Source organism: Homo sapiens, chromosome 6 (assembly GCF_000001405.40).
Source record: "Homo sapiens chromosome 6, GRCh38.p14 Primary Assembly".
Taxonomy (NCBI): Eukaryota; Metazoa; Chordata; class Mammalia; order Primates; family Hominidae; genus Homo; species Homo sapiens.
This window is the reverse complement of record NC_000006.12, coordinates 10,698,920-10,721,784: the sequence shown is the minus strand read 5'-3', so window position 1 is coordinate 10,721,784 and position 22,865 is coordinate 10,698,920. Positions and strand designations below refer to the sequence as shown.

Here is a 22,865-nt window from a genome sequence, read left to right as displayed (position 1 = left end):
AAGGCAGTGCGTCTGGAATATGTTTGTTCTTTCCGGTGGGATCGTGGTCTTCGTAGCTTTGGGAGCAAAACTGCAAATCTTCGCAGTGAGCGTTACCACTTGTAAAGACAACACAGGACCTAAGCACCGAGCAACAGCAATATTTGTTGCAAAAAGAAAAAGAGAAAGAACAAAGCCTCCTCCACATAGAAGAAAACCCAAGTGCGTTACAACTACTGGCTTGGGCAGCCTGCTTTTATTCTCTTATCTGGCCCCACCCACATCCTGCTGATTGGTAGAGCCGAGTGGTCTGTTTTGACAGGGTGCTGATTGGTGCGTTTACAATCCCTGAGCTAGATACAAAAGTTCTCCACGTCCCCACCAGATTAGCTATAGAGTGTCCACACAAAGGTTCTCCAAGGTCCTGCCAGAGTAGCTAGATACAGAGTGTGGATTGGTGCATTCACAAACCCTGAGCTAGACACACGGTGCTGACTGGTGTGTTTACAAACCTTGAGCTAGATACAGAGTGCCGATTGGTGTATTTACAATCCCTAAGCTAGACATAAAGGTTCTCCACGGTCCCCACCAGAGTAGCTAGATACAGTGTCCATTGGTGCATTCACAAACCCTGAGCCAGACACAGGGGGCTGATTGGTGTGTTTACAAACCTTGAGCTAGATATAGAGTGCCAATTGGTGTATTTACAATCCCTGAGCTAAACATAAAGGTTCTCCACCTCCCCACCAGACTTAACCCAGCTGGCTTCACCCAGTGGATCCCACACCAGGGCTGCAGGTGGAGCTGCCTTCCAGTCCTGCGCCCTGCGCCCACACTTCTCAGCTCTTGGGTGGTTGATGGGACTGGGCCCTGTGGAGCAGGGGGTGGTGCTCATCAGGGAGGCTCGGGCCCTACAGGAGCCCACGGAGGTGGTGGGAGGCTCAGGCATGGCGGGCTGCAGGTTCCGAGCCCTGCCCCGTCGGAAGGCAGCTAAGGCCCCGCGAGAAATCCAACGCAGCGCCGGTGGGCTGGCACTGCTGGGGGACCCAGTACACCCTCTGCAGCCGCTGGCCTGGGTGCCAAGCCCCTCATTGCCCAGGGCCGGCCGGCCGGCTGCTCCGAGTGCGGGGCCCGCCAAGCCCACGCCCACCCGGAACTCCAACTGGCGCGGAAGCGCCGCGCGCAGCCCTGGTTTCCGCTCGCGCCTCTTCCTCCACACCTCCCTGCAAGCTGAGGGAGCCAGCTCTGGCCTTGGCCAGCCCAGAAAGGGGTTCCCACAGTGCAGCGGTGGGCTAAAGGGCTCAAGTGCCTCCAAAGTGGGAGCCCAGGAAGAGGAGGCGCCGAGAGCGAGGGCTCTGAGGACTGCCAGCACGTCGTCACCTCTCACTAGCAGCCTTCGCTTGCTCTCGGTGCCTCCTTAGCATCGGCCAGGCTCGAGGAGCCCTTCAGCCCGCCGCTGCGCTGTGCGGGGCCCTCCCTGGGGCTGGCCGAGACCGGAGCCGGCTCCATCTGCTCGTGGGGAGGCGTGGAGGGAGAGGCGCAGGCGGGGACTGGGGCTGCGCTGCCCCGGGTTCCAGGTGGGCGCAGGCTCGGTGGGCCCCGCACTTGGCGCGACCTGCCGGCCCCTGCTGGGCTTGATCGGAGGCTGGGTCCAGTGCGTGGACCGCCGTTCCCTCTTGGCGGGGTCGTTGGCCACGATGGCGGGTCTCTGTCTCTCTCCTCCTCTTTTCCTCTTGGTTGTGTGGGAGGAGCTCCCGGAGTGCCCAGGCTAGTTGCCAAAAAGTCCCACCCAACTCCCAGCGAGAGGTGAAGCCCGCTGGGCTTCTGGGACGGGTGGGGACTTGGAAAACTTTTGTGTCTAGCTAAAGGATTGTAAATGCACCAGTCAGCAGTTTTTTGTCTAGCTAAAGGTTTGTAAACGCACCAATCAGCGCTCTGTGTCTAGCTAATCTGGTCAGGACTTGGAGAACTTTTGTATCTAGCCAAAGGATTGTAAACGCACCAATCAGCACTCTGTGTCTAGCTAAAGGTTTGCAAATGCACCAATCGGCACTCTGTAAAATGGACCAATCAGCTGGATGTGGGTGTGGCCAGATTAGGGAATAAAAACTGGCCACCCACAGCCAGTAGGGGAAACGTGCTTGGGTGTTTTCTTGGGCTGACAGAGCTTTGTTCTTTTGCTTTTTGCAATAAATGTTGGTGCTGATAGTTCTTTAGATCCGTGCAATGTTTATGAGTTTTAATACTCACCGTGATAAGGCTACAGTTTTGCTTCTGAAGCTAGTGAGACCACAAACCCACTGAAAGCAGATGAAAAACTGGATGTGCCACCTTTATGAACTGTAGCACTGACTGCAGAGGTTGGTGGTTTTATTGCTGAGGCTAGCAGAGAGCACAAACCCACCAGAAAGAACAAGTAACTGCAGATGTGCCACCTCTAAGAGGTGTAACACTCACTGCAAAGGCCTGCAGCTTCATTCCTGAAATCAGTGAGACCGTGAACCCACCAGTAGGAAGAAACTAGATAATGTCTGAATGTCGGAAGGAACAAACTTTGGACCCACCATCTTTAACAGTTGTAACATTCAATCATGAGGGTCTGTGGCTTTATTCTTGAAGTCAGCAAGACGAACCCACAAAGTCCAGACACAATGGGGTTTCACCATGTTGGCCCAGCTGGTCTCAAACTCTTAATCTCATCTGCCCACCTCAGTCTCCCAAAGTGCTGGGATTAGAGGCATGAGCTGCTTTGCTGGCCTTTGTAGCATGGTTTTTGCTTTTTTTTTTTTTTTTGAGATGGAGTTTTGCTGTTGTAGAAAGTAGAAAAGCTTCTCTTCAAACCTTGTCTTGGTTTAAAAATAGACACCAGGAATAATCACATCTTACTCCAAAGCCTGCTATCAACTGTTAGTTCTTACGATTTAGCCCAGTTAGTTGCTTTGGCTTATTCAGGCATGTCTGGACAGGCCCAAGCAAGTCTCAGCTCATATTTTATGCCCCTTCCTTATTTGGAAATGTTATTATTTCCTTAAACCTTTCATAAGCAACTTAGTCTCCTTTATCCTCCCTTGCACCTAACTATTTAGGAAAGTTTCAGGTTGTTAGCAAATTGGAAATTTAAGACCGAGGTCCAGCACCAGTCAATGCATGCAGGACACAGCAGTAAGGAGGACCCAAATGTGTAAACCCTCTGCTTTTCCTTTGTTCAAGTGTGCTATTGCCGTTGTTCCATCTGTGAGAAGCACCCTTTCTGCAGGAAGTGAAAATGGCCTTGCTGAGAGAATTAAATTTATGTTTGAGTGCTATTTTGTGGTGCTGGGGAACAAGCATTTCTAACAGTTGCCCAGGCTGGAGTGCAGTGGCATGATCTCAGCTCACTGCAACCTTTGCCTCTCAGGTTCAAGTGATTTTCCTGCTCAGCCTCCTGAGCGGCTGAGATTACAGATGTGTGGCACCATGCCTGGCTATTTTTTGTGTTTTTAGTAGAGACAGTGGTTCACCATGTTGGCCAGGCTGGTCCCACACTCCCAGCCTCAAGCAATCTGCCTGCCTGGGCCTCCCACAAGTGTCGGGATTACAGGTGTGAGCCACCATGCCCGGTCGCGGCGTATATTCTTAAAGACAAACTTTCCACTTGTGGCAGCACCTACCTTGCAGATAGCAAAATTGAAGCCCTTGTTTATCACAGCTGATTCTAACCAGCCAACGCTGATAATGACTAAGAACTTGCAGGAATTGCAGTATGCCAGACCTTCAATTTAATTGAAGACCTTCCTGAACAATTAATAGGGAGACTTGTCTTAACCTGCAGGAACGGCTTTAGGGGCTCATTCTTCCCTATGCAGGCGCAAGCCTCAAACCTTAATTAGGATCATCCACCATGATTCCCGCACTCTCCCCCTCACCTTATACTTGAAGAAACTCAACCTCAGAGAATTGTATTATCTACGGTCTTTGTCAGTGGTACAGCTATGATTTAAAGTAAGGTCTGAAATACAAAAATTAGCCAGGCGTGGTGGCACACCCCTGTAATCCAAGGTACTCTGGAGGCTGAGGCAGGAGAATTGCTTGAACCTAGGAGGCGGAGGTTGCCATGAGCCAAGATTGCGCCATTGCACTCCAGCCTGGGCAACAGAGCAAGACTCTCTCAAAAACAAAGAAACGAACAAACAGTGTAAAGAAAGAAAAGCAGCATTTTAAATAATGTTTATATAACTCATAGGAAAGTAGGAAAAAGAAAACAAAAACAGCACAAACAGCAAAACAAAAAAATGGCCAACTTAAGTCTTAAAACATTAATGACATTAAATGTAAACAGTCTAAATACATCAATTAAAAGACAGAATGGATTAAGAAATATGACACAACTATATGCTGCATACAAAAAATTCACTTCAAACATAAGGATACAGGCAAGTTGCAATAAAAGACGGAAAAAATATATCATGCAAACAAAAGAAATCAGAAGTAGCTACATTACTATCAGATAGATTTCAGAGCAAAGAAAATGACCAGAGACAGTGACATTGTATAAAGATTTAAGAGTCAATCCACCAAGAAAACAGAAATCCTAAATGTATATGTACCTAACAATAGAGCTGCAAAAGATGTGAAACAAAAACTGAAGGAATTGAAATAAGAAATGGACAAATCCAGAGTTATAGTTGGATGCTTCAATCCCTCTAAATGATGATAAAAGCAGTAGACCAGAAGTCAGGAAGGATATAGAAAAACCCCAATAACATCATCAACTAACAGGATCTAATATACATTTATAGAGTGCTCCACCCAACAACTGCAAGATACATATTCAAGTGTCCACAGAACATCTATCAGGAGAGATCATATCCTGGGCCATAAAACAAATCTCAACTAATTTAAAAGAATTGAAATCATACAGAATGTGTTCTCCAACAACAATGGAATCAAATTAGAAATCAGTAACAGAAAGATAAGAAAATCTCCAAACACTTGGAAACTAAACATTTTAAAATAATCTGTCGGTCAAAGAGAAAAATCCAGAAATTAAATTAAGGCTAGGCATGGTGGCTCTAAAAATTAAAAATCTAGAAATTAAATTAAGGCTAGGTAGGTGTGGTGGCTCATGCCTGTAATCCCAGAACTTTGGGAGGCCAAGGTGGTAGGATCGCTTGAGTCCGGGAGTTTAAGAGCAGCCTGGCCAACGTGGTAAAACCCTGTCTTTATAAGACACAAAAAAGCCAGGCGTGTTGGTATGTGCCTCTAGTCCCAGCCATTCAGGAGGATGAGGTGGGAGAATTGCCTGTCTCTAGGAGGCCAAGGCTGCAGTGAGCCAAGATCACGCCATTGCACTCCAGCCTGGGTGACCTTGCCCCCTCCCCTGCCGCCAAGAAAAGTGCATTATCCTGAATAAAATGAAAATACAACACATTAAAATATATAGCATTAGTAGCAATGAATAAACCAAAAGTGAAATTAACAATTCAATTTACAATAGCATCAAAAGGAATAAAACCCTCAGAAATAAATTTAATAAAATAAATACAAAATTTATAAACTGAAAACTAAAAAACACTGTGGAAAGAAATGAAAGAATACCTAAATAAATAAAAGGATATCCTTTGTTTGTGGATTGGAGGATTTCAAATTTTTCAGGTTATAATATTCCTCAAATTGATCTACAGATTCAATGCAATTCCTGTCAAATTCAAGCTGGACTCTGCAGAAATTGATAAACTGATATTAAAATTCATTAAAAATTCAAGGGACACAGTACAGCCAAAATAATCTTCAAAAAGAATAAAGTTGCAAGACTCACCTTTCCTTATTTCAAAACTTACTACAAACCTATAGTAATCAAGACTGTATTGTACTATTATAAGGATGGGCATATAAATCAATGGATTAGAATTGTGAATCCAGGGCCGGGCGCGGTGGCTCACGCCTGTAATCCTAGCACTTTGGGAGGCTGAGGCGGGTGGATCACCTGAGGTCAGGAGTAATAAACATTTTTTCAAAAAAGATAAAAGAGGCTCACCATCATTAGCCATCAGGAAATGCAAATCAAAATCACAATGAGCTACTAAGCCCCACCCACTGGAATGGCTATAATAAAAACAAAAAACCAGGTGTCAGCAAAGGTGTGGCAAAATTGGAACACTCACACACTGGTGGTGGAAATATAAAGGGTGTGATCGCTTTAGGACAGTATGGCAGTCCCTCAAAAGGTTGAACATAAGAGTAACCATCTGATTCCGCAATTTTACTTCTAGGTATATATGTACCCAAGAAAAATGAAAACATATGTTCATGCAAAAACTTGTAAATGAATGTTCAAAGCAACATTATTCTTACTAGCCAAGAAGAAACAAATATGCATCAGCTATAGAATGAACAAACTGTGTTATATCCATGCAATGAAATATTATTTGGCAATAAAAAGAAATGAAATACTGATATATGTTACAATATGAATAAACCCTTGCCAGGCACAGTGGCTCACACCTGTCATCCCAGCACTTTGGGAGGCCGAGGCAGGCGGATTACCTGAGGTCAGGAGTTTGAGACCAGCCTGGCCAACATGGCGAAACCCCGTCTCTACTAAAACTACAAAAATTAGCTGGGCATGGTGGCGGGTGCCTGTAATCCCAGCTACTTGGGAGGCTGAGGCAGGAGAATCGCTTGAACCCAGGAGGTAGAGGTTGCAGTGAGCCGAGACCGCACCATTGCACTCCAGCCTGGGCAACAAGAGCGAAACTCCATCTAAAACAACAACAACAACAAAAAACCAATATGGATGAACCCTGGAACAATATGTGAAGTGAAATCACAAAAGACCCCAAATGGAATGATTCCATTTCTATGAAATGTCTAGACTAGGCAAATCCTACACATACGGAAGACAGATCAGTGGTTGCATACACCTAGGGGTGTTTGGGAGGGAGAAATGGGGAATGACAGCTAAGGGGTCCAAGGTTTCTTCTTGGAGTGATTAAAATGTCCTAATATTGATTTTTGTGATAGTTGCACTCTGTGAATAGACTGAAAAACATTGAATTGTATGCTTTCGATGGGTGAATAGTATGTTGTATGAATTATGTCTCAAAGTATTACAAAAAACCAAACTGTGTTTGCTACTTGGGAGGCTGGGGCCAGAAGATTGTTTGAGGCCAGAAGTTTGAGACCAGCCTCAGCAACCATAACACAACCCTGTCTCTTTTAAATAGATAGATACACTACTACATACAAAAACAGTGGCATGTAGCAAAAGCAGTGCTAAAAACCTTAAGAGCACACATTTGAAATGAGGGAAAAACTCACATAATATAAGCTCCTGCCTCAAGAACCTAGTAAAAAAGCCAGGTGTGGTGGCTCACACCTGTAGTCCCAGCAACTCCGGAGGCCAAGGTGGGAGGATGGCTTTAGCCCAGGAGTTAAAGGCCAGCCTGAGCAACATAGCAAGACCATGTCTCTAAAAAATCCTAAAACAAACCAAAAAGAAAATAGAAAAAGAAGAGCAAAAGAAACCCCAAAGCAAGCAGAAGGAAAGAAGGAAATAAGGATGAGAGCAGAAAATGAAATTGAAAACAGAAGGAGTCAATGAAACAAAGAACTGATTCTTTGTTTTGTTTTGTTTTTGAGACACAGTTTCTCTCTGTTGCCCAGGCTGGAGTGCAGTGGCACAGTCTCGGCTCACCGCAACCTCCGCCTCTCGGGTTTGAGCGATTCTCCTGGCTCAGCCCCCCTAGTAGCTGGGATTACAGGCGCCTGCCACAATGCCCGGCTAATTTTTATATTTTTAGTAGAGACAGGATTTCACCAGGTTTTCCAGGTTGGTCTTGAACGTCTGACCTTAGGTGATCTGCCCACCTCGGCCTCCCAAAGTGCTGGGATTACAGGCATGAGCCACCGTGCCTGGCAGAACTGGTTCTTTGAAAAGATAATAAAACTGACAAAGCTCTAGGAAGACTGACAAAGAAAACAGAGAGGACACAAATTACCAATATCAGGAATGAAACAGGGGATGTCAAGTTGACCTTTCTTCAACTTGACAAAGAATATCTACGAAAACCCTACAGCTGGCATTATACTTAACAGTGAAAGACTGAATATTTTTCCCCTAAGATCATAACAAGGCAAAGATGTCTGTTCTCACTATTGTTATTCAACACAGTGCTGCATCTTCTAGTCAGTTAATAAGGCAAGAAAATGGGGAAAAATACAGATAGAAATAACACTATTTATATTTGCAGATAACATAATTGTCTACATAGAAACCCCCAACAAAACAACTCCTAGAATAAATGAATTCAGCAAGATAGCAGGATGTAAGATCACACAAAAATAAACTGTATTTCTATGTATTAGCAATGAATATGGGCACCAAAATTAAAAATATCACTTGTAGGCCAGGTGCAGTGGCTCATGCCTGTAATCCCAACACTTTGGGAGGCCAAAGTGGGCAGATCACGAGGTCAGGAGTTTGAGACCAGCCTAGCCAATATAGTGAAACCCCATCTCTACTAAAAGTACAAAAAAATTTGCCGGGCATGGTGGCAGGCACCTGTAATCCCAGCTACTTGGGAGGCTGAGGCAGGAGAATCGCTTGAACCCAAGGAGGCAGAGGTTGCGGTCAGCCGAGATGGCGTCACTGCACTCCAGCCCAGGCACCAGTGCAAGACTCCATCTCAAAAAAAAAAAAAAAAAAAAAAAAAATTACTTGTAATTCCCCCACCCCAAATACTTACAAATAAATCTAACACGTGCAAGATTTGTATGCTGAAAACTACACAACACTGATAAAAGAAATCAAAGATCTGGCTGGGCGCAGTAGCTAAGGCCTGTAATCCCAGCACTTTGGGAGGCCAAGGCGGGCGGATCACCTGAGGTCAGGAGTTTGAGACCAGCCTGGCCAACATGGCGAAACCCTGTCTCTTCTATAAATAAAAAAATTAGCCGGGCGTGGTGGTGTGTGCCTGTAATCCCAGCTACTCGGGAGGCTGAGGCAGGAGAATTGCGTGAATCCAGGAGGCAGTAGTTGCAGTGAGCTGAGGTCGCAAAATTGCACTCCAGCCTGGGTGACAAGAGCAAAACTGTCTAAAAAAATAAAAATAAAATAATAAAAAAATCAAAGATCTATACAGCCATGTGCTGCGTAATGACATTTTGGTCAATAATGGTTTGGTCAATAACGGATCACATATACAATGGTGGTCCCATAAGATTATGACTATACCGTATGGCCTTGGTGTGCAGCAGGCTCTACCATCCAGGTTTGTGTAAGTACACCCTGTGATATTCACACAAAATGAAATCACCTAATGAGGAATTTCTCAGAATGTATTCCTGTCATTATTGACATGACTGTACATTTTTTTTTTGTAGAGAAGGATAGAATTATCCTAAATTCTATATGGAAAGGCAAAGGAACTAGAATAGTGAAAATAATTTTGAAAAACAGAAAAGGGGGAGAATCATTCTACTCAAATTCAAGGCTTATTATATAGCTGCAGTAATCAAGACCATGTGGTTCCAGCAAAAATATCAACAGAGATCAATAGAACACAATAGAGAGCCCAGTAATAGACCCACACTAATATGCTCAATTGAATTCTGGCAAAGATGCAAAAGTATTTCAATAGAGGAAGAACAGTCTTTTCAACAAGGCGCTAGAGCAAGTCGATATCCATAGGCAAGAAAATAAACTTGGAATTAAACCTCACACTTTATACACTCAAAATGGATCACATACTAAATGTAAAATGTAAAACTCTACAAAACCTTTAAAAAATATATAGAACCTCTTCAGGATCTAAGGCTAGACAAAGGTCTTGGACTTCACACCAAAAGCATGATCCATGGAAGGAAAAATTGATGAACTGGATTTCAACAAAATAAAAAACTTGAGCTCTGCAAAAGGCTGTTAGGACAAAAACACAAGCTACAGACTAGGCAAAAATATTTGCAAACCACATTATCTGAGAAAGGCTGAGTTTCTACAATATATAAAAGAACTCTTGGCCAGGTGCGGTGGCTCACGCCTGTAATCCCTGTACTTTGGGAGGCCGAGGCGGGTGGATCACTAAAGATCAGGAGTTCGAGACCAGGCTGGCTAACATGGTAAAACCCCACCTCTACTAAAAATACAAAAATTAGCTGGGTATGGTGGCACGCACCTGTAATCCCAGTTACTCAAGAGGCTGGGGCAGGAGAATCGCTTGAACCTGGGAGGTGGAGGTTGCAGTGAGCCGAGATCACGCCACTGCACTCCAGCCTGGGTGGGTGACAGAGTAAGACTCCGTTTCAAAAAAAAACAAAAACAAAAAACTCTCAAAATTCAACAGCAAAAAAGAAAAAATATATAATGTGAACATGGGCAAAAGACTTTTCACCAATTATGATACACAGATGGCAAATAAGCACATGGAAAGATGATTAACATCATTAGCTATCAGAGTAATGTAAGTTATAACCGCAATAAGGTATCACTACACTCTTACCAGAATGGCTAAGACTAACATCAAATGCTGGAAAGATGCAGAGAAACTGTATCACTCAAACATTACTGGTAGAAATGTAAAACCATACAGCTATTCTGGAAAACTTTGGAATTCCTGGGCATTTATCCAAGAGAAATGAAGACTCTAGTTCACATAAAAACCTGTACACAAATGTTTACAGCAACTTTATTTAGATACCTAATAACAGGAAACATTCCTGACGTCCTTCCACAGGTGTTTACTATGGTACATCTATACTGACATCCCACTCAGTACTAAAAACAGAACTATTGATGCAACAAGCTGGATCAATGCCCAGAGATTATGCTGAGTGAAAAGCCAATCCCAAAAGAAAGTATAATCCAATCAATTTTGGCAAAATTAGAGATGGAGAACAGACCGCTGGTGCCAGAGGTTATGAAGGTGGGCATAGCTATACGAGCACAAGAGGAAACTGAATATGGCTTATGACAACAGATGGGATCATTGTGATAGAAATGTTCTGTATCTTGATTATATCATTTCTATCCTATCTTGGCTTGGTTGTGATATTGCCCTTGTTTTGCAAGATGTTATCATTGGGAAAACCGGGTGGAATCTCTGTATTATTTCTTACAAGTGTATATTTCTCACAATGATCTCAAAATTTTTGAGTTGAATTGAGAAAAAAAAAAGCCAACGACCTACATTTATGCTAATAGCTTATGAAATAAGCTAACAAAGGAGTAGACTGATATTAAGCACACAATTTGGTTCATTTCCTAGACAATTTATTCCTATGGAGTGGCAATTCCAGTGCCCGTTCTTATTCTGCCTAATCAGAAGTGATTCTCCTGATGGTCTCAGGTATCTAGTATCTGCCTGGCTAATTCAAACCTATGGATCCCCAATAATGTCTTTTTCTTTCTTTCTTTTTTTTAAGACAGGGTCTGGCTCTGTTGTCCAGGCTGGAGTATAGTGGTGCAGTCGCAGCTCACCGTAACTTCCACATCCTGGGCTCAAGCCATCCTTCCCACCTCCGCCTCTTGAGTAGCTGGGAGCATGTCACCACATCTAGCTAATTTTTTGGGAGAGACAGTCTCCCTATGTTGCCCATGCTGGTCTCAAACTCCTTGGCTCAAGCTACCAGCTACTCGGGAGGCTGAGGCAGGAGAATAGCCTGAACCCAGGAGACGGAGGTTGCAGTGAGCTAAGATCGCGCCACTGCACTCCAGCCTGGGCAACAGAGCAAGACTCCGTCTCAAAAAAAAAAGAAAAAAAGAAAAGATCATTTTCCCGTCCTTAAATTATTTTGTACATCTACTACTTGGAAGCAAAGTAGTTTAAAGTCTGGCAATCTCTCTATAATCTTAGGTACGTGGTCCTACACTTAAGCATATGTTTGTTTCATAGATATGTATAATTATATATGTATAATCTTTTAAGTTTGTCTGGTTGGTATGAAAATCTAAAATTACTACTTACCATTTGAAGAAGCCAAAGGCAGTTCTTAAATTCTTTCCCATTTAAGAGAAAATTTTGAATAATGACTCCTTCATCCAAATCTGATAAAGAATGTGTTCAATATTTTATATTATTTTACAGTATATTTTGAGAAAGATCTTTATTTGCTTTGTACAAAGTAAAAATTACATGACACATTAACATATTATATATCAACATGATACATAATTCATAAAACACTGTCTGCCAAAAGTAATTTTACCAGTTTTTTTTTTTTTTTTAAAAAAAACCATCTAAAAGTGGTTTTTTAATATATATATTTTTTCCAAAGGAAGAAATTTCTTGCTTTTACTCAGGGAAAAAAAAAAAATTAAGGTACATTTGAGTAGAATGATTTCATCTAAAAGAGTTCTTTCAGGAGACATCTGTGATTCACTGCATTGTTTTTATTTTCTTCTTTTTCCTCTTCTTTTCCAACATTTCTACCATTTTCCTCTTCTTGGTTGATATCAGGCCACTTTCTTTTGTTGCTTTCTTACTGTCACCTGTTAAACCGCGTTTCTTTGTGTTAGGTTTTGACCGCTTTTCTTCTTTGTGCACTGTGTCACCAGGCTCCTTTTTGCCAATTTTGGACTGTTCTTTACTTACTAAAACACAAAAGAGAGTGCTTTTAAAAAAAGACTGTTTTCCCCTTTGAATGAAATAAACACAAGCTGTCAATAAAGTGAAATTATCTGGATCTCCTCCACTTCTACAATTTAAGAGATAATAGATTATTCAAAATTTCAAAACAATCAAATTCGATTACCAGGAGAAGGCTCTGCAGCTGGAGGAAGGCTTTCTTTCATGTCTGCCACTTTGTCTAGCCACACTCCAAGACACGTCAGCCTGGCATTAGTGTTTATTTCACAGAGTAAAGATGGGGGAACTTTCTAAACAGAAGAAACAAACATTCATAATGTGCATTTTCAATAATTTCTTTTTCCATAATCAAGTTACCTTAATTTAAAACTTCCTGTATTTTCTTGAGTACAAAATATGATATTCAGAAGCAACATATAATCTTCACTCATGATTAGTTTGACTGTTATTCACAGAGCCAATTTTGCATGTTCTCACTCATAGGTGGGAATTGAACAATGAGAACACACAGACACAGGAAGGGGAACATCACACACCAGGGCCTGTTGTGGGGTGGGGGGCAGGGGGAGGAATAGCATCAGGAGATACACCTAATGTTAAATGACGAAGTTAATGGGTGCAGCACACCAACATAGCACATGTATACATATATAACTAACCTGCACGTTGTACACATGCACCCTAAAACTTAAAGTATAAAAAAAAAGAAAAAAAAACATATATCCACACAAAAATTTGCATATGAATGTTCACAGAAGCACTATTCATAACATCCAAAAGGTGGAAACAATCCAAATGTCTATCACCTGATGAATGGATACATAAAAAGTGGTATATCCACACAACGGCGTAGTATTCAGTCATAAAAAGTAGTGAAGTACTAACATATGCTATAACATGATGAACCTTAGAAACATACACGAAGTGAAAAACGCCCGTCACAAAAGGCCAAACGTTGTGTGATTCCATATATGAAATGTCCAGAATAGGCAAATCCATAAAAACAAAAAACAGATTACTAGTTACCAGGGACTGGCAGTGGGGGGAAAGGAGAGGATGGGGGGTGACTGCTAATGGGTATGGAGCTTCTCTTTGGTGTGATGAAAATATTCTAAAATTAATTACGATTATGATTGTACAACTCCATGAACATGCTAAATTAAATCACTGAATTGTATACTTAAAAAAAAAAAAAAAAAAAGAAAATTCTAAAGAAAGGAATCAGGTCTTATTTCCAGGGCTGAACAAAGAACCTTGGAAAGAGACATTCAACAAACCATATTCACAGAATGTGTTTATGAGAGAACAAAGAATAAACCAAGAGAGACTGTAAGGAGACTACAGGAGGGAATTCAATTTTCCAAAGTGTCTGGTTTAAATGGTTTGTTAATTTTGTAATTGATCAGGAGCTTCCAAATTACTTTTAGCAATGGCAGTATTTTTACCTAAGAGCTTCCAGAGAACTCCAATATTCAAGAGAGGAAAGTAGAGCTTCTCTGACTAAAAAGAGCAGCGCGAGTTCTGGGATCCCACCAGCTCACACTCAGAAATGACAACCATCAAGGCAGCTCCCTGGGAACCCTAATTTTAAAACCATTAATATCAATCATGCCTGGAAGAGATTTAAAAAGTTTAAAGACCTATGTCTTATGACCCTTAAAAAAATTCCACCTCACTTATGAGCAAGACTTGTATTAAAGTACATTTAGATTGTGTTGAAGCACTGACCTTATCCTGCTTAAGCTTCCACATTTTGATGAAACCATCACTCGATGCTGAAACAATAACATGATGCTCTGGAATTTCAAAACTGAACATGTCCTTTACCCTAGGATAGAAATATTAACACCATAAAAGATCTTTTCCTCCAAATAGTCTAATATTGTTATAAAATTACACACAAAGACTAGTGCTTTCTCAATGTTTCAAGTATTTCCAAACTGCTCAATGAATGGTGCCTTAAAATATAGCTATGCTTCGCATTCCCATTAATGAGATATATCCAGGCCCAAAAAACAAGATAAAATCCACTGCCAACCATATCTGAAGGAAAAGTTGAAAAGAAAACAGATAACTATAAATAATCAGGTTATCACAAAGGAACTAAAGATGAGTAAAACAAAGCCCATCACCTCAAGAAACTCCAAGTTCAGTAAGGAGAGAAAAGACAACAGAAACGATGAATCCAGGCCTCTCCCACACATCCATTTCCCTCATCTCCAGTCCCACCACTGTTAGTCTAAGCCACTCTCATTTTTCCTCTGGATCACAGAAGTAGCCTGATTGGCCTTTCTGCTTCTTTTTTGCCCCTTAACAATTTTCTTTTCTTTCTTTTTCTTTTTTTTTTTTTTGAGATGGAGCCTTGCTCTATCGCCCAGGCTGGAGTGCGGTGGTGGGATCTCGGCTATCTCAGCTAACCACAACCTCCGCCTCCTGGGTTCAAACGATTCTCCTGCCTCAGCCTCCCGAGTAGCTGGGATTACAGGCGTGCGCCACCATACCTGGCTAATTTTTGTATTTTTAGTAGAGACGGGGTTTCACCATGTTGGTCAGGCTGGTCTCAAACTCCTGACCTTGTGATCTGCCTACCTCAGCCTCCCAAAGTGCCAGGATTACAGGCATGAGCCACTGCACCTGGCCAGAAATTTTTAAAAATGTAAATCAAATCATGTAACTTGCAGGCTTAAAACCCTACAAAACTGGGATCTACTTTAAAATAAGATGGGAGAGGAAGAAGTGGCTGGGCATATAGATGAAGCAAAACTGGCCACACAGTGACAGTTGCTAAAGCTGATGGTGGGTCTTAAAGAGTTAGCACCTTAAACCAGTCTAAATGCTTTTAAATTTTTCCATAGTAAGAAAAATTATGATGATTACAGGCACCGATTGGCTTCCACCGTCTTCTCCTTGCTCATTCTCACCTAGTCACACAGGTCTTCTATCTGCTCCTAAAATACACCAAGCTCTGTTCTCCCTCAGGGTCTTTGCACCTGTGCCTCTCTCTTTTTAAAACTAACTCCTTTTTCATTCTTAAGGTCTCACATCTTCTTCCCTCATCATCCTATCTAAACCAATTACCCTTGTTAATCTTTAATCACTCTACTTTTCTATTTCCATCCTGTTATAATGATCTGCTTGCTTATAATCTATTGCCTCCTTATAATGTAAGAGCCATGAGAGCACAAGCTCCTGTCTTTTCTGTTCATCATTAAATACTTCGTGTAGTATTTCATAATGATGCTCAATGAATACTTGTTAAATGAATGAATGGCCAAATATCTTAAGTGTTATTAGTACATCTGGAATGGGCGACTTTGAAAAATATATTCACTTCCCAATATAGGAGAAGAGTAAGGCCTTTATACTACTGACTGCAGTACTCTAAGTATGGATTTCTTAAAACTTAACCACTGTTTAAGAAATAAGAATTAAGACTCATTTGAGACATAGAACATGCAAATGGATCACATCAAAATCTAACTCTGTATATTAGATCACCTTTTTCAAAATTACTGGAGAAAGCAGGGATATAAGAGTCAGATAAAACCGGGTTCAGCTCTCAGCTCCACTATTGGGGTAATATTGGCCAACCACTTAACTACTTACTTTGAGACTATCTACCCCCTAGAAATAGAGAAAGCATTAAAAGGTAATAAAAGCTGGCACAAAACAGGAACTCAATAACGTCAATTCACTTCTCCTGCAGGAAAAAAAATCACATGGAAAGGGGGAAGAAGTAGGCAAGGGGACTTATGTAAAAGGACAAAAGTAGATGGGAACAAAGCTCAAGATTGTTTAGTCTTTTGTTTGTTCAAATATGCTTGATTTCAGGCTCCAAGTCTAACAGACATTTAAAAAATACCTTGTGTAAATGACAGTCCAGAAAACAATTTCACCACTTTTGCATTATTATTATTATTTTTTTTGAGACAGAGTCTCACTCTGTCACCAGGTTGGAGTGCAGTGGTGCGATCTTGGCTCACTGCAACCTCCGCCTCCAGGGTTCAAGTGATTCTCCTGCCTCACCCTCTCGAGTAACTGGGACTACCAGCGTGCACCACCACACCAATTTTTTTATTTTTAGTAGAGACGGGGTTTCACCATGTTGGCCAGGATGGTCTTGATCTCTTGACCTCCTGATCCGCCCGCCTCAGCCTCCCAAAGTGTTGGGATTACAGGCGTGAGCTACTGCTCCCGGCCCACTTTTGCATTATTAAATGCCAGGAAGATAACATCTTCCACCACCTTATTAGACTACAGATACCATATACTGTACATGTAGATATGTCTGATTATTTCTGCAGTTGTTAATAAAAACATATAACCTGGCTTATGAAACTACTGCATATATACCTTTTATTAAGACTAGACATATACACCAAAGATTGGTAAAAATACCTGTTTTCATGAGCTTTAAATTCGCAGAGGCACACTAGTGAATCACAGTCAAAAAACCTTATAACTTCTTCATCTCCAGCCACTGCAAGGACAGACTCCTAGGAGAGAGGAAAAAGAGTAATAACATCCAGAATGTCATCAACAGTTCCAACCATCACCACAAACTTTGGTCAATGATTTCTGATTACTTACTGAAAGAAATTTAACAGAGGAAATTCTCTTTTCATTTGTGATGGTGCCACTAATGGATGCAGTGTCAAGCTGATAGATGTCTATTTTATTCTGTATGATAACTACATACTGCTCTCCTCTTGGGGACCATTCTACTATGTGAGCATCTGTAAGTGGAAAAAAACGAAGTTTATTTATTTTGTAAATAAAACATAAAATGATCATAGTAATAAAAATAGCAAATATTTATACTGTGCATTTTCAAATTCATTATCCTATTTCATCTTCGTAACACATTTTACAAGTCAAGTTTTTTAGAAAATAATCTAGGTTCAAAAAGTCAAAGGTGGGCCAGGTGCAGTGGCTCACACCTGTAATGCCAGCACTTTGGGAGGCCAAGGTGGGTGGATCACTTAAGGCCAGGAGTTTGAGACCAGCCTGGCAAACATGGTGAAACCCCATCTCTCTACCAAAAAATACAAAAAATTAGCCAAGCATGGTGGCACGCGCCTGTAATCCCAGCTGCTTGGGAGGGTGAGGCAGGAGAATAACGAACTCAGAAGGCAGAGGTTGTAGGGAGCTGAGATAGCGCCACTGCACTCCAGCCTGGGTGATAGAGCGAGACTCCATCTCAAAAAATAAAATAAAATAAAAAATATAAAATAAAATAAAATGAAACAAAATAAAAATCAAAGGCAGGTGGCAGAGCCACAAAAAGAATCTAGTCTAAAATGGGAAAAGAAAGTAACCCAAGGCATTTGCTCAGAGGTAACCACCACCATGCAGGGAAATAAATGTGTAACATACACACATGTAAAAATGTATATCTATATTCATATTCCATTAAGTCACTGTAAAATATACAGGTTGAGTATCCCTTATCCAAAATGCTTGGGACCAGAACGATTTTGGATTTTGGAATATCTGCATATATACAATGAAATATCTCGAGGATAAAACCCATGCAACTCATGTTTCAAGTCTAAACATGAAATTCATCTATGCTTCATATACACCTAGCCGGAAGGTAATTTTACACAATATTTTAAATAATTTTGTGTATGAAACAAGGTTCTGACTGTGACCCATCATGAGGTAAGGTGTTGAATTTTCTACTTGAGGCACCACATCAGTGCTCAAAAAGTTTCAGATTTTGGAGCATTTCAGATTTCCAGATTAGGAATGCTCAACCTGCATTTCAAACAAAAATACTCACTTTGTTTTATATTTTTTATGAATGCTGATCTTCCTTCTACAAGATTCCACGTTCTGCAAAACAGGAAGCTCACTTACGGTGTGATCACCAACTAACTTTTACTAAGCGTAAAAGAACAAGCATAATGAAGACTTAAGTGACATTTTACTAAATATTGGCTATTTAGAAGACCTGCTATCTTCCTTACAGCAATATTTTGAAATATTATGAGGCAGGATTAAGACTTGCTTCATTCCCATATCCCTTTAACATCTCGTATCCATTGTATTTTCAAAAGGTTTCCCTTTCTAAAATCTTCAATTCACAGCTATGATGACTGCAGCATAATTGCATGTTTGAAAACGGAGCTTGTTGGCTGGGCGTGGTGGCTCACGCCTGTAATCCCAGCACTTTCGGAGGCTGAGGCGGGCGGATCATGAGGTCAGGAGATCAAGACCATCCTGGCTAACACGGTGAAACCCCGTCTCTACTAAAAATACAAAAAATAGCCGGGCGTGGTGGTGGGCGCCTGTAGTTCCAGCTACTTGGGAGGCTGAGGCAGGAGAATGGCATGAACCTGGGAGGCGGAGCTTGCAGTGAGCCAAGATCACGCCGCCGCACTCCAGCCTGGGCGACAGAGCAGGGAGACAGAGCGAGACTCTGTCTCAAAAAAAAAAGAAAGAAAACAGAGCTTGTCATTTTCATTCTACCACTATGAACCACTATGAAAAGGTTCACCAGCTTTTGACCTTTCCCTTGTATAACAGTATTTTTAGATGGTGGAGAGCTGTAGTAAAACACACACCTTAGATAAATGCTCTTGAGCATTAATGACTTACCTTAAAGTTTTATCTGTACCAACCGACAGGGCCAACTTGCCAGATGGGTGAATAGAAAGGAAGGTCACCTGTCCTCTATAATGAAACCAAAAGTTAGTCCCCAACTTGACTGGCACATCGAGAATGCCAAAGGGAAAGAGCCCGACTCACTTGTGAGCTTTAATTGACTTCAGGCATTCCCATTTCTTTGCATCCCAGATACAGATGAGTCCATCTTCCGCTCCACTGATTAAATGCCTGTTGCCATAGAATTTCAGGCAAGTTATTGTACCTATGGAAAAACCAAAATAGGCAAAAATAATATTCATTTTAAATGCAAACTCCATTTCTGATTTGAAGGCTATGCTATGCTAAGTAAAACACTCAATACCTTTTTTTCTTTTTCTTTTTTTTTTTTTTGAGGCAGGGTTTCACTCTTGTTACCCAGGCTGAAGTGCTATGGCATGATCTTATCCCACTGCAACCTCTGCCTCCTGGGTTCAAGCAATCTTCCCACCTCAGCCTCCTGAGTAACTGGGACTACAGGTGCACATCAATATACCTAGCTAATTTTTGTATTTTTTGTAGATACAGTGTTTCACCATGCCATGTTGCCCAGGCTGGTCTTGAACTCCTGGGCCCAAGTGATCTGCCCACCTCAGCCTCCCAAAGTGCTGGGATTACAGGTGTGAGCCACTGTGCCTGGCCTCAATGTCTTAATATTACTAAAACATACCTTAAATTTTTTCATGTAAGTACAGTTGTTCAAATCTATGCAAATATTTTCAGCAGAGTATCTCCAGTTTAGATACAGATTTGAACAAATCAGTTCACGTCCTTGCTTTATGTCTTCAAATTATAAATTTAGGAGGTGGCTGGCTAGGATAGTTTGAGCAGAAGTAAACAAAACTAATCAGCTAACAAGCTAATCTGGGGAACAAACCAGGTGTACTGCCACATGACTTCCACTTTCTAAACAGTGAATTAGCTACCCAATCAGCCACAATCCAATCCTTATCACTCAGATCTGTTTTGATCCATTTCCACACACTTCTCATTCATTTGTTCATATTTTCCTCTCCCTATTATCCTATTTCTCACTTTGGAAAGTTTGGTTTCCCACATTTGCTTCCCTAGAAAAAAGCTTATCTATTAGCAACTCTTAGAAAAATAGGATTTATGCACCCATAAAAAGGAATGAGATCATGTCCTTTGCAGGGATGTGGATGGAGTTGGAAGCCATTATCCCCAGCAAACTAATGCAGGAAGAGAAAATTAAACACTGGCTAGGCGAGGTGGCTCATGCCTGTAATCCCAGCACTTTGGGAGACCGAGACAGGCAGATCACTTGAGGTCAGGAGTTCAATACCAGCCTGGCCAACATGGCGAAACCCCGTCTCTACTGAAAATACAAAAATTAGCTGGATGTGGTGGTGTGTGCCTGTAGTCCCAGCTACTCAGGAGGCTGAGGCACAAGAATCGCTTGAACCCGGGAGATGGAGGTTGCAGTGAGCCGAGCTCTGCCACTGCACTCCAGCCTGGGTGACAGAGAAAGACTGCATCTCAAAAAAGAAGGAAAGAAAGAAATAGAAAAGAAAAGAAAAAGAAAACCAAACACCACATGTTCTCACACAGGGGAAAAACAACACACACTGGGGCCTGTGGGAGGGGAAGGGTTGCGGGAAGGAGAGCATTAGAAAGAACAGCTAATGGATGCTGGGCTTAATACCTAGGTGATGGGATGATCTGTAAAGCAAACCACCATGGGACGTTTACCTACGTAACAAACCTGCACATCCTGCATGTGTACCCCTGAACTTAAAAGTTGAAGGAAAAAAAGAAAAAAGAAAAAAAGGATTTATACAAGAAATAAAGGAAACCAAGAAACCAAGAGCCCTACTTCATTCACCCCCCAATCTAAACTCCTTCTATGTAATTCCTTTTCTTATTGTTGAACACTTGTACTAATGGGTTTGGGCAGATCAAATTTAACTTATTTCTTCCAAACCTGAGAGAGAAGCCTTCTTTGTAACAAACTAGGACTAGGAGATAGAGAAAAAAAGAATGTATATTTGAATCACTCAAAGCTCAGCTTCTGATGAAGAGCAAGACAGCTGTTAAAGCAGCAATGGACAGTCTGCCATGTGTGAAAGTGTCCCCCAAAATTCATTTGCTGAAACTTAGTTGCCAATGTGATAGTTTAAGAGGTGAGACCTTTAGGAGGTGATGGTGACTAAGTCATAAGGGCAAACCCTCATGAACGGGATTAGAGGACTGGCGACATTATAAAAGTTGTTTTTTTTGGCAGGGCGCGGTGGCTCACGCCTGTAATCCCAGCACTTTGGGAGGCTGAGGCGGGCGGATCACTTGAGGTCAAGAGTTCAAGACCAGCTTGGCCAACATGGTTAGACCCGTCTCTACTAAAAATACAAAAATTAGCTGGGCGTGGTGGCAGGCACCTATAATCCAAGCTACCTGGGAGGCTGAGGCAGGAGAATCGCTTAAACCCAGGAGGCAGAAGCTGCAGTGAGCCGAGATCGCGCCACTGCACTCCAGCCTGGGTGACAGAGCGAGAAGCCCCCCCGCCCCCGCCAAAAAAAAAGTTGTTTTTTTCGTTTGTTTGTTTGCTTTTTTTAAACTGGCTCCAACTCTCAAGCTTGACCTTACAGAATTGTGCAGGGATCTGCTTTGCCCTTCTACCATGAGGACACAGCAACAGAGAGCCAGTCCTTACGAGACAAGAAAATCTGCTGGTGCCTTAATCTTAGACTTCCCAGCCTCTACAACTGTGAGAAATAAATCTCTATTATTGATAAATTATTCAGTCTAAGGTATTTTGTTATAGCAGTCTGAATAAACTAAGGGAACACCTAATAGAAGGAAGCCATTTATCGCTGCAAATTTACTGCTGGAAACCAATGCCTGGTGTGGATCCTCTGAAATACATGTAAGATTGGGTAGGAAAAAGGGCACCATTTTATCTGCCTTTCTTTGCAGAAAACCAACTTTCTTGGCTGAGTTACTCCTCATTCTCTGTCCCCTGGGAAAATGCAACAAAAACAGCATAAAATGTTTGGTACTGAAGAAAAAAATTTACCTGTTCAGTCTTTCTCTCCCTTGATTCTGCCACTATCCTGGGTACCTTGACCACCAGTGTGGAAAACCAAACCACAAGCCGGGAACTGTAGTACTACTTCTTGACTTCAACTCCAGTGACCTTTGCCTCCCCTGCATTTCAGTCCCCTACACCCACAGCCTGGGCATCGTTACCACATAGAGCTGTTCCACGTTAGAACTCTTGACCTCTAGGAAGCTATTTGCTGACCACAAGCTCACATCTTCCCATCCCTTTCATGCCTCTCTGCACTCACACTCCACCTGCTTTTGTATTTCAGAGATCTCCAGGCCCTTGACAACACATTTTCTTTTCTTTTCCTCTTTTTTTTTTTTTTTTTTTTTTGAGACAGAGTCTCGCTCTGTCGCCTAGGCTAGAGTGCAGTGGCACAGTCTCAGCTCACTGCACACTCTGCCTCCCCAGGTTCAAGCGATTCTCCTGCCTCAGCCTCCTAAGTAGCTGGGACTACAGGTACGTGCCACCATGCCCAGCTAAGGTTATGTATTTTTCGTAGAGACGGGGTTTCTCCTTGTTAGCCAGGATGGTCTCAATCTCCTGACCTCACGCTCGGCCCACCTCGGCCTCCCAAAGTGCTGGGATTACAGGCGCGAGCCACCGCGCCTGGC

At 42.0% G+C, this 22,865-nt stretch overlaps 1 protein-coding gene across 3 annotated transcripts in view, besides 2 other annotated features; it reads right to left on the bottom strand.

The window, feature by feature from the left end:
- Positions 1,029-1,168: a silencer, noted in NCBI's record as "silent region_16903". NCBI's record gives its function as "represses an Ori minimal core promoter by ATAC-STARR-seq in GM12878 lymphoblastoid cells {active_cell/tissue: GM12878}" and the evidence as "EXISTENCE:reporter gene assay evidence [ECO:0000049][PMID:35858748]".
- Positions 1,499-1,658: a silencer, noted in NCBI's record as "silent region_16902". NCBI's record gives its function as "represses an Ori minimal core promoter by ATAC-STARR-seq in GM12878 lymphoblastoid cells {active_cell/tissue: GM12878}" and the evidence as "EXISTENCE:reporter gene assay evidence [ECO:0000049][PMID:35858748]".
- Positions 12,003-22,865, bottom strand: part of PAK1IP1 (PAK1 interacting protein 1) — an 18,918-nt gene continuing 8,055 nt past the window's right edge. For all 3 annotated transcript variants that reach the window (XM_011514721.1, XM_005249204.3, NM_017906.3), the window contains 8 exons: positions 19,296-19,416; positions 19,146-19,220; positions 18,328-18,380; positions 17,133-17,278; positions 16,941-17,038; positions 14,271-14,370; positions 12,709-12,832; positions 12,003-12,547 (listed from right to left, as the gene is read on the bottom strand). In XM_011514721.1, the coding sequence (XP_011513023.1) occupies positions 12,333-12,547; positions 12,709-12,832; positions 14,271-14,370; positions 16,941-17,038; positions 17,133-17,278; positions 18,328-18,380; positions 19,146-19,220; positions 19,296-19,416 (932 nt within the window). In that variant the 3' untranslated portion in view covers positions 12,003-12,332. The remainder of the gene's footprint in view (positions 12,548-12,708; positions 12,833-14,270; positions 14,371-16,940; positions 17,039-17,132; positions 17,279-18,327; positions 18,381-19,145; positions 19,221-19,295; positions 19,417-22,865) is intronic.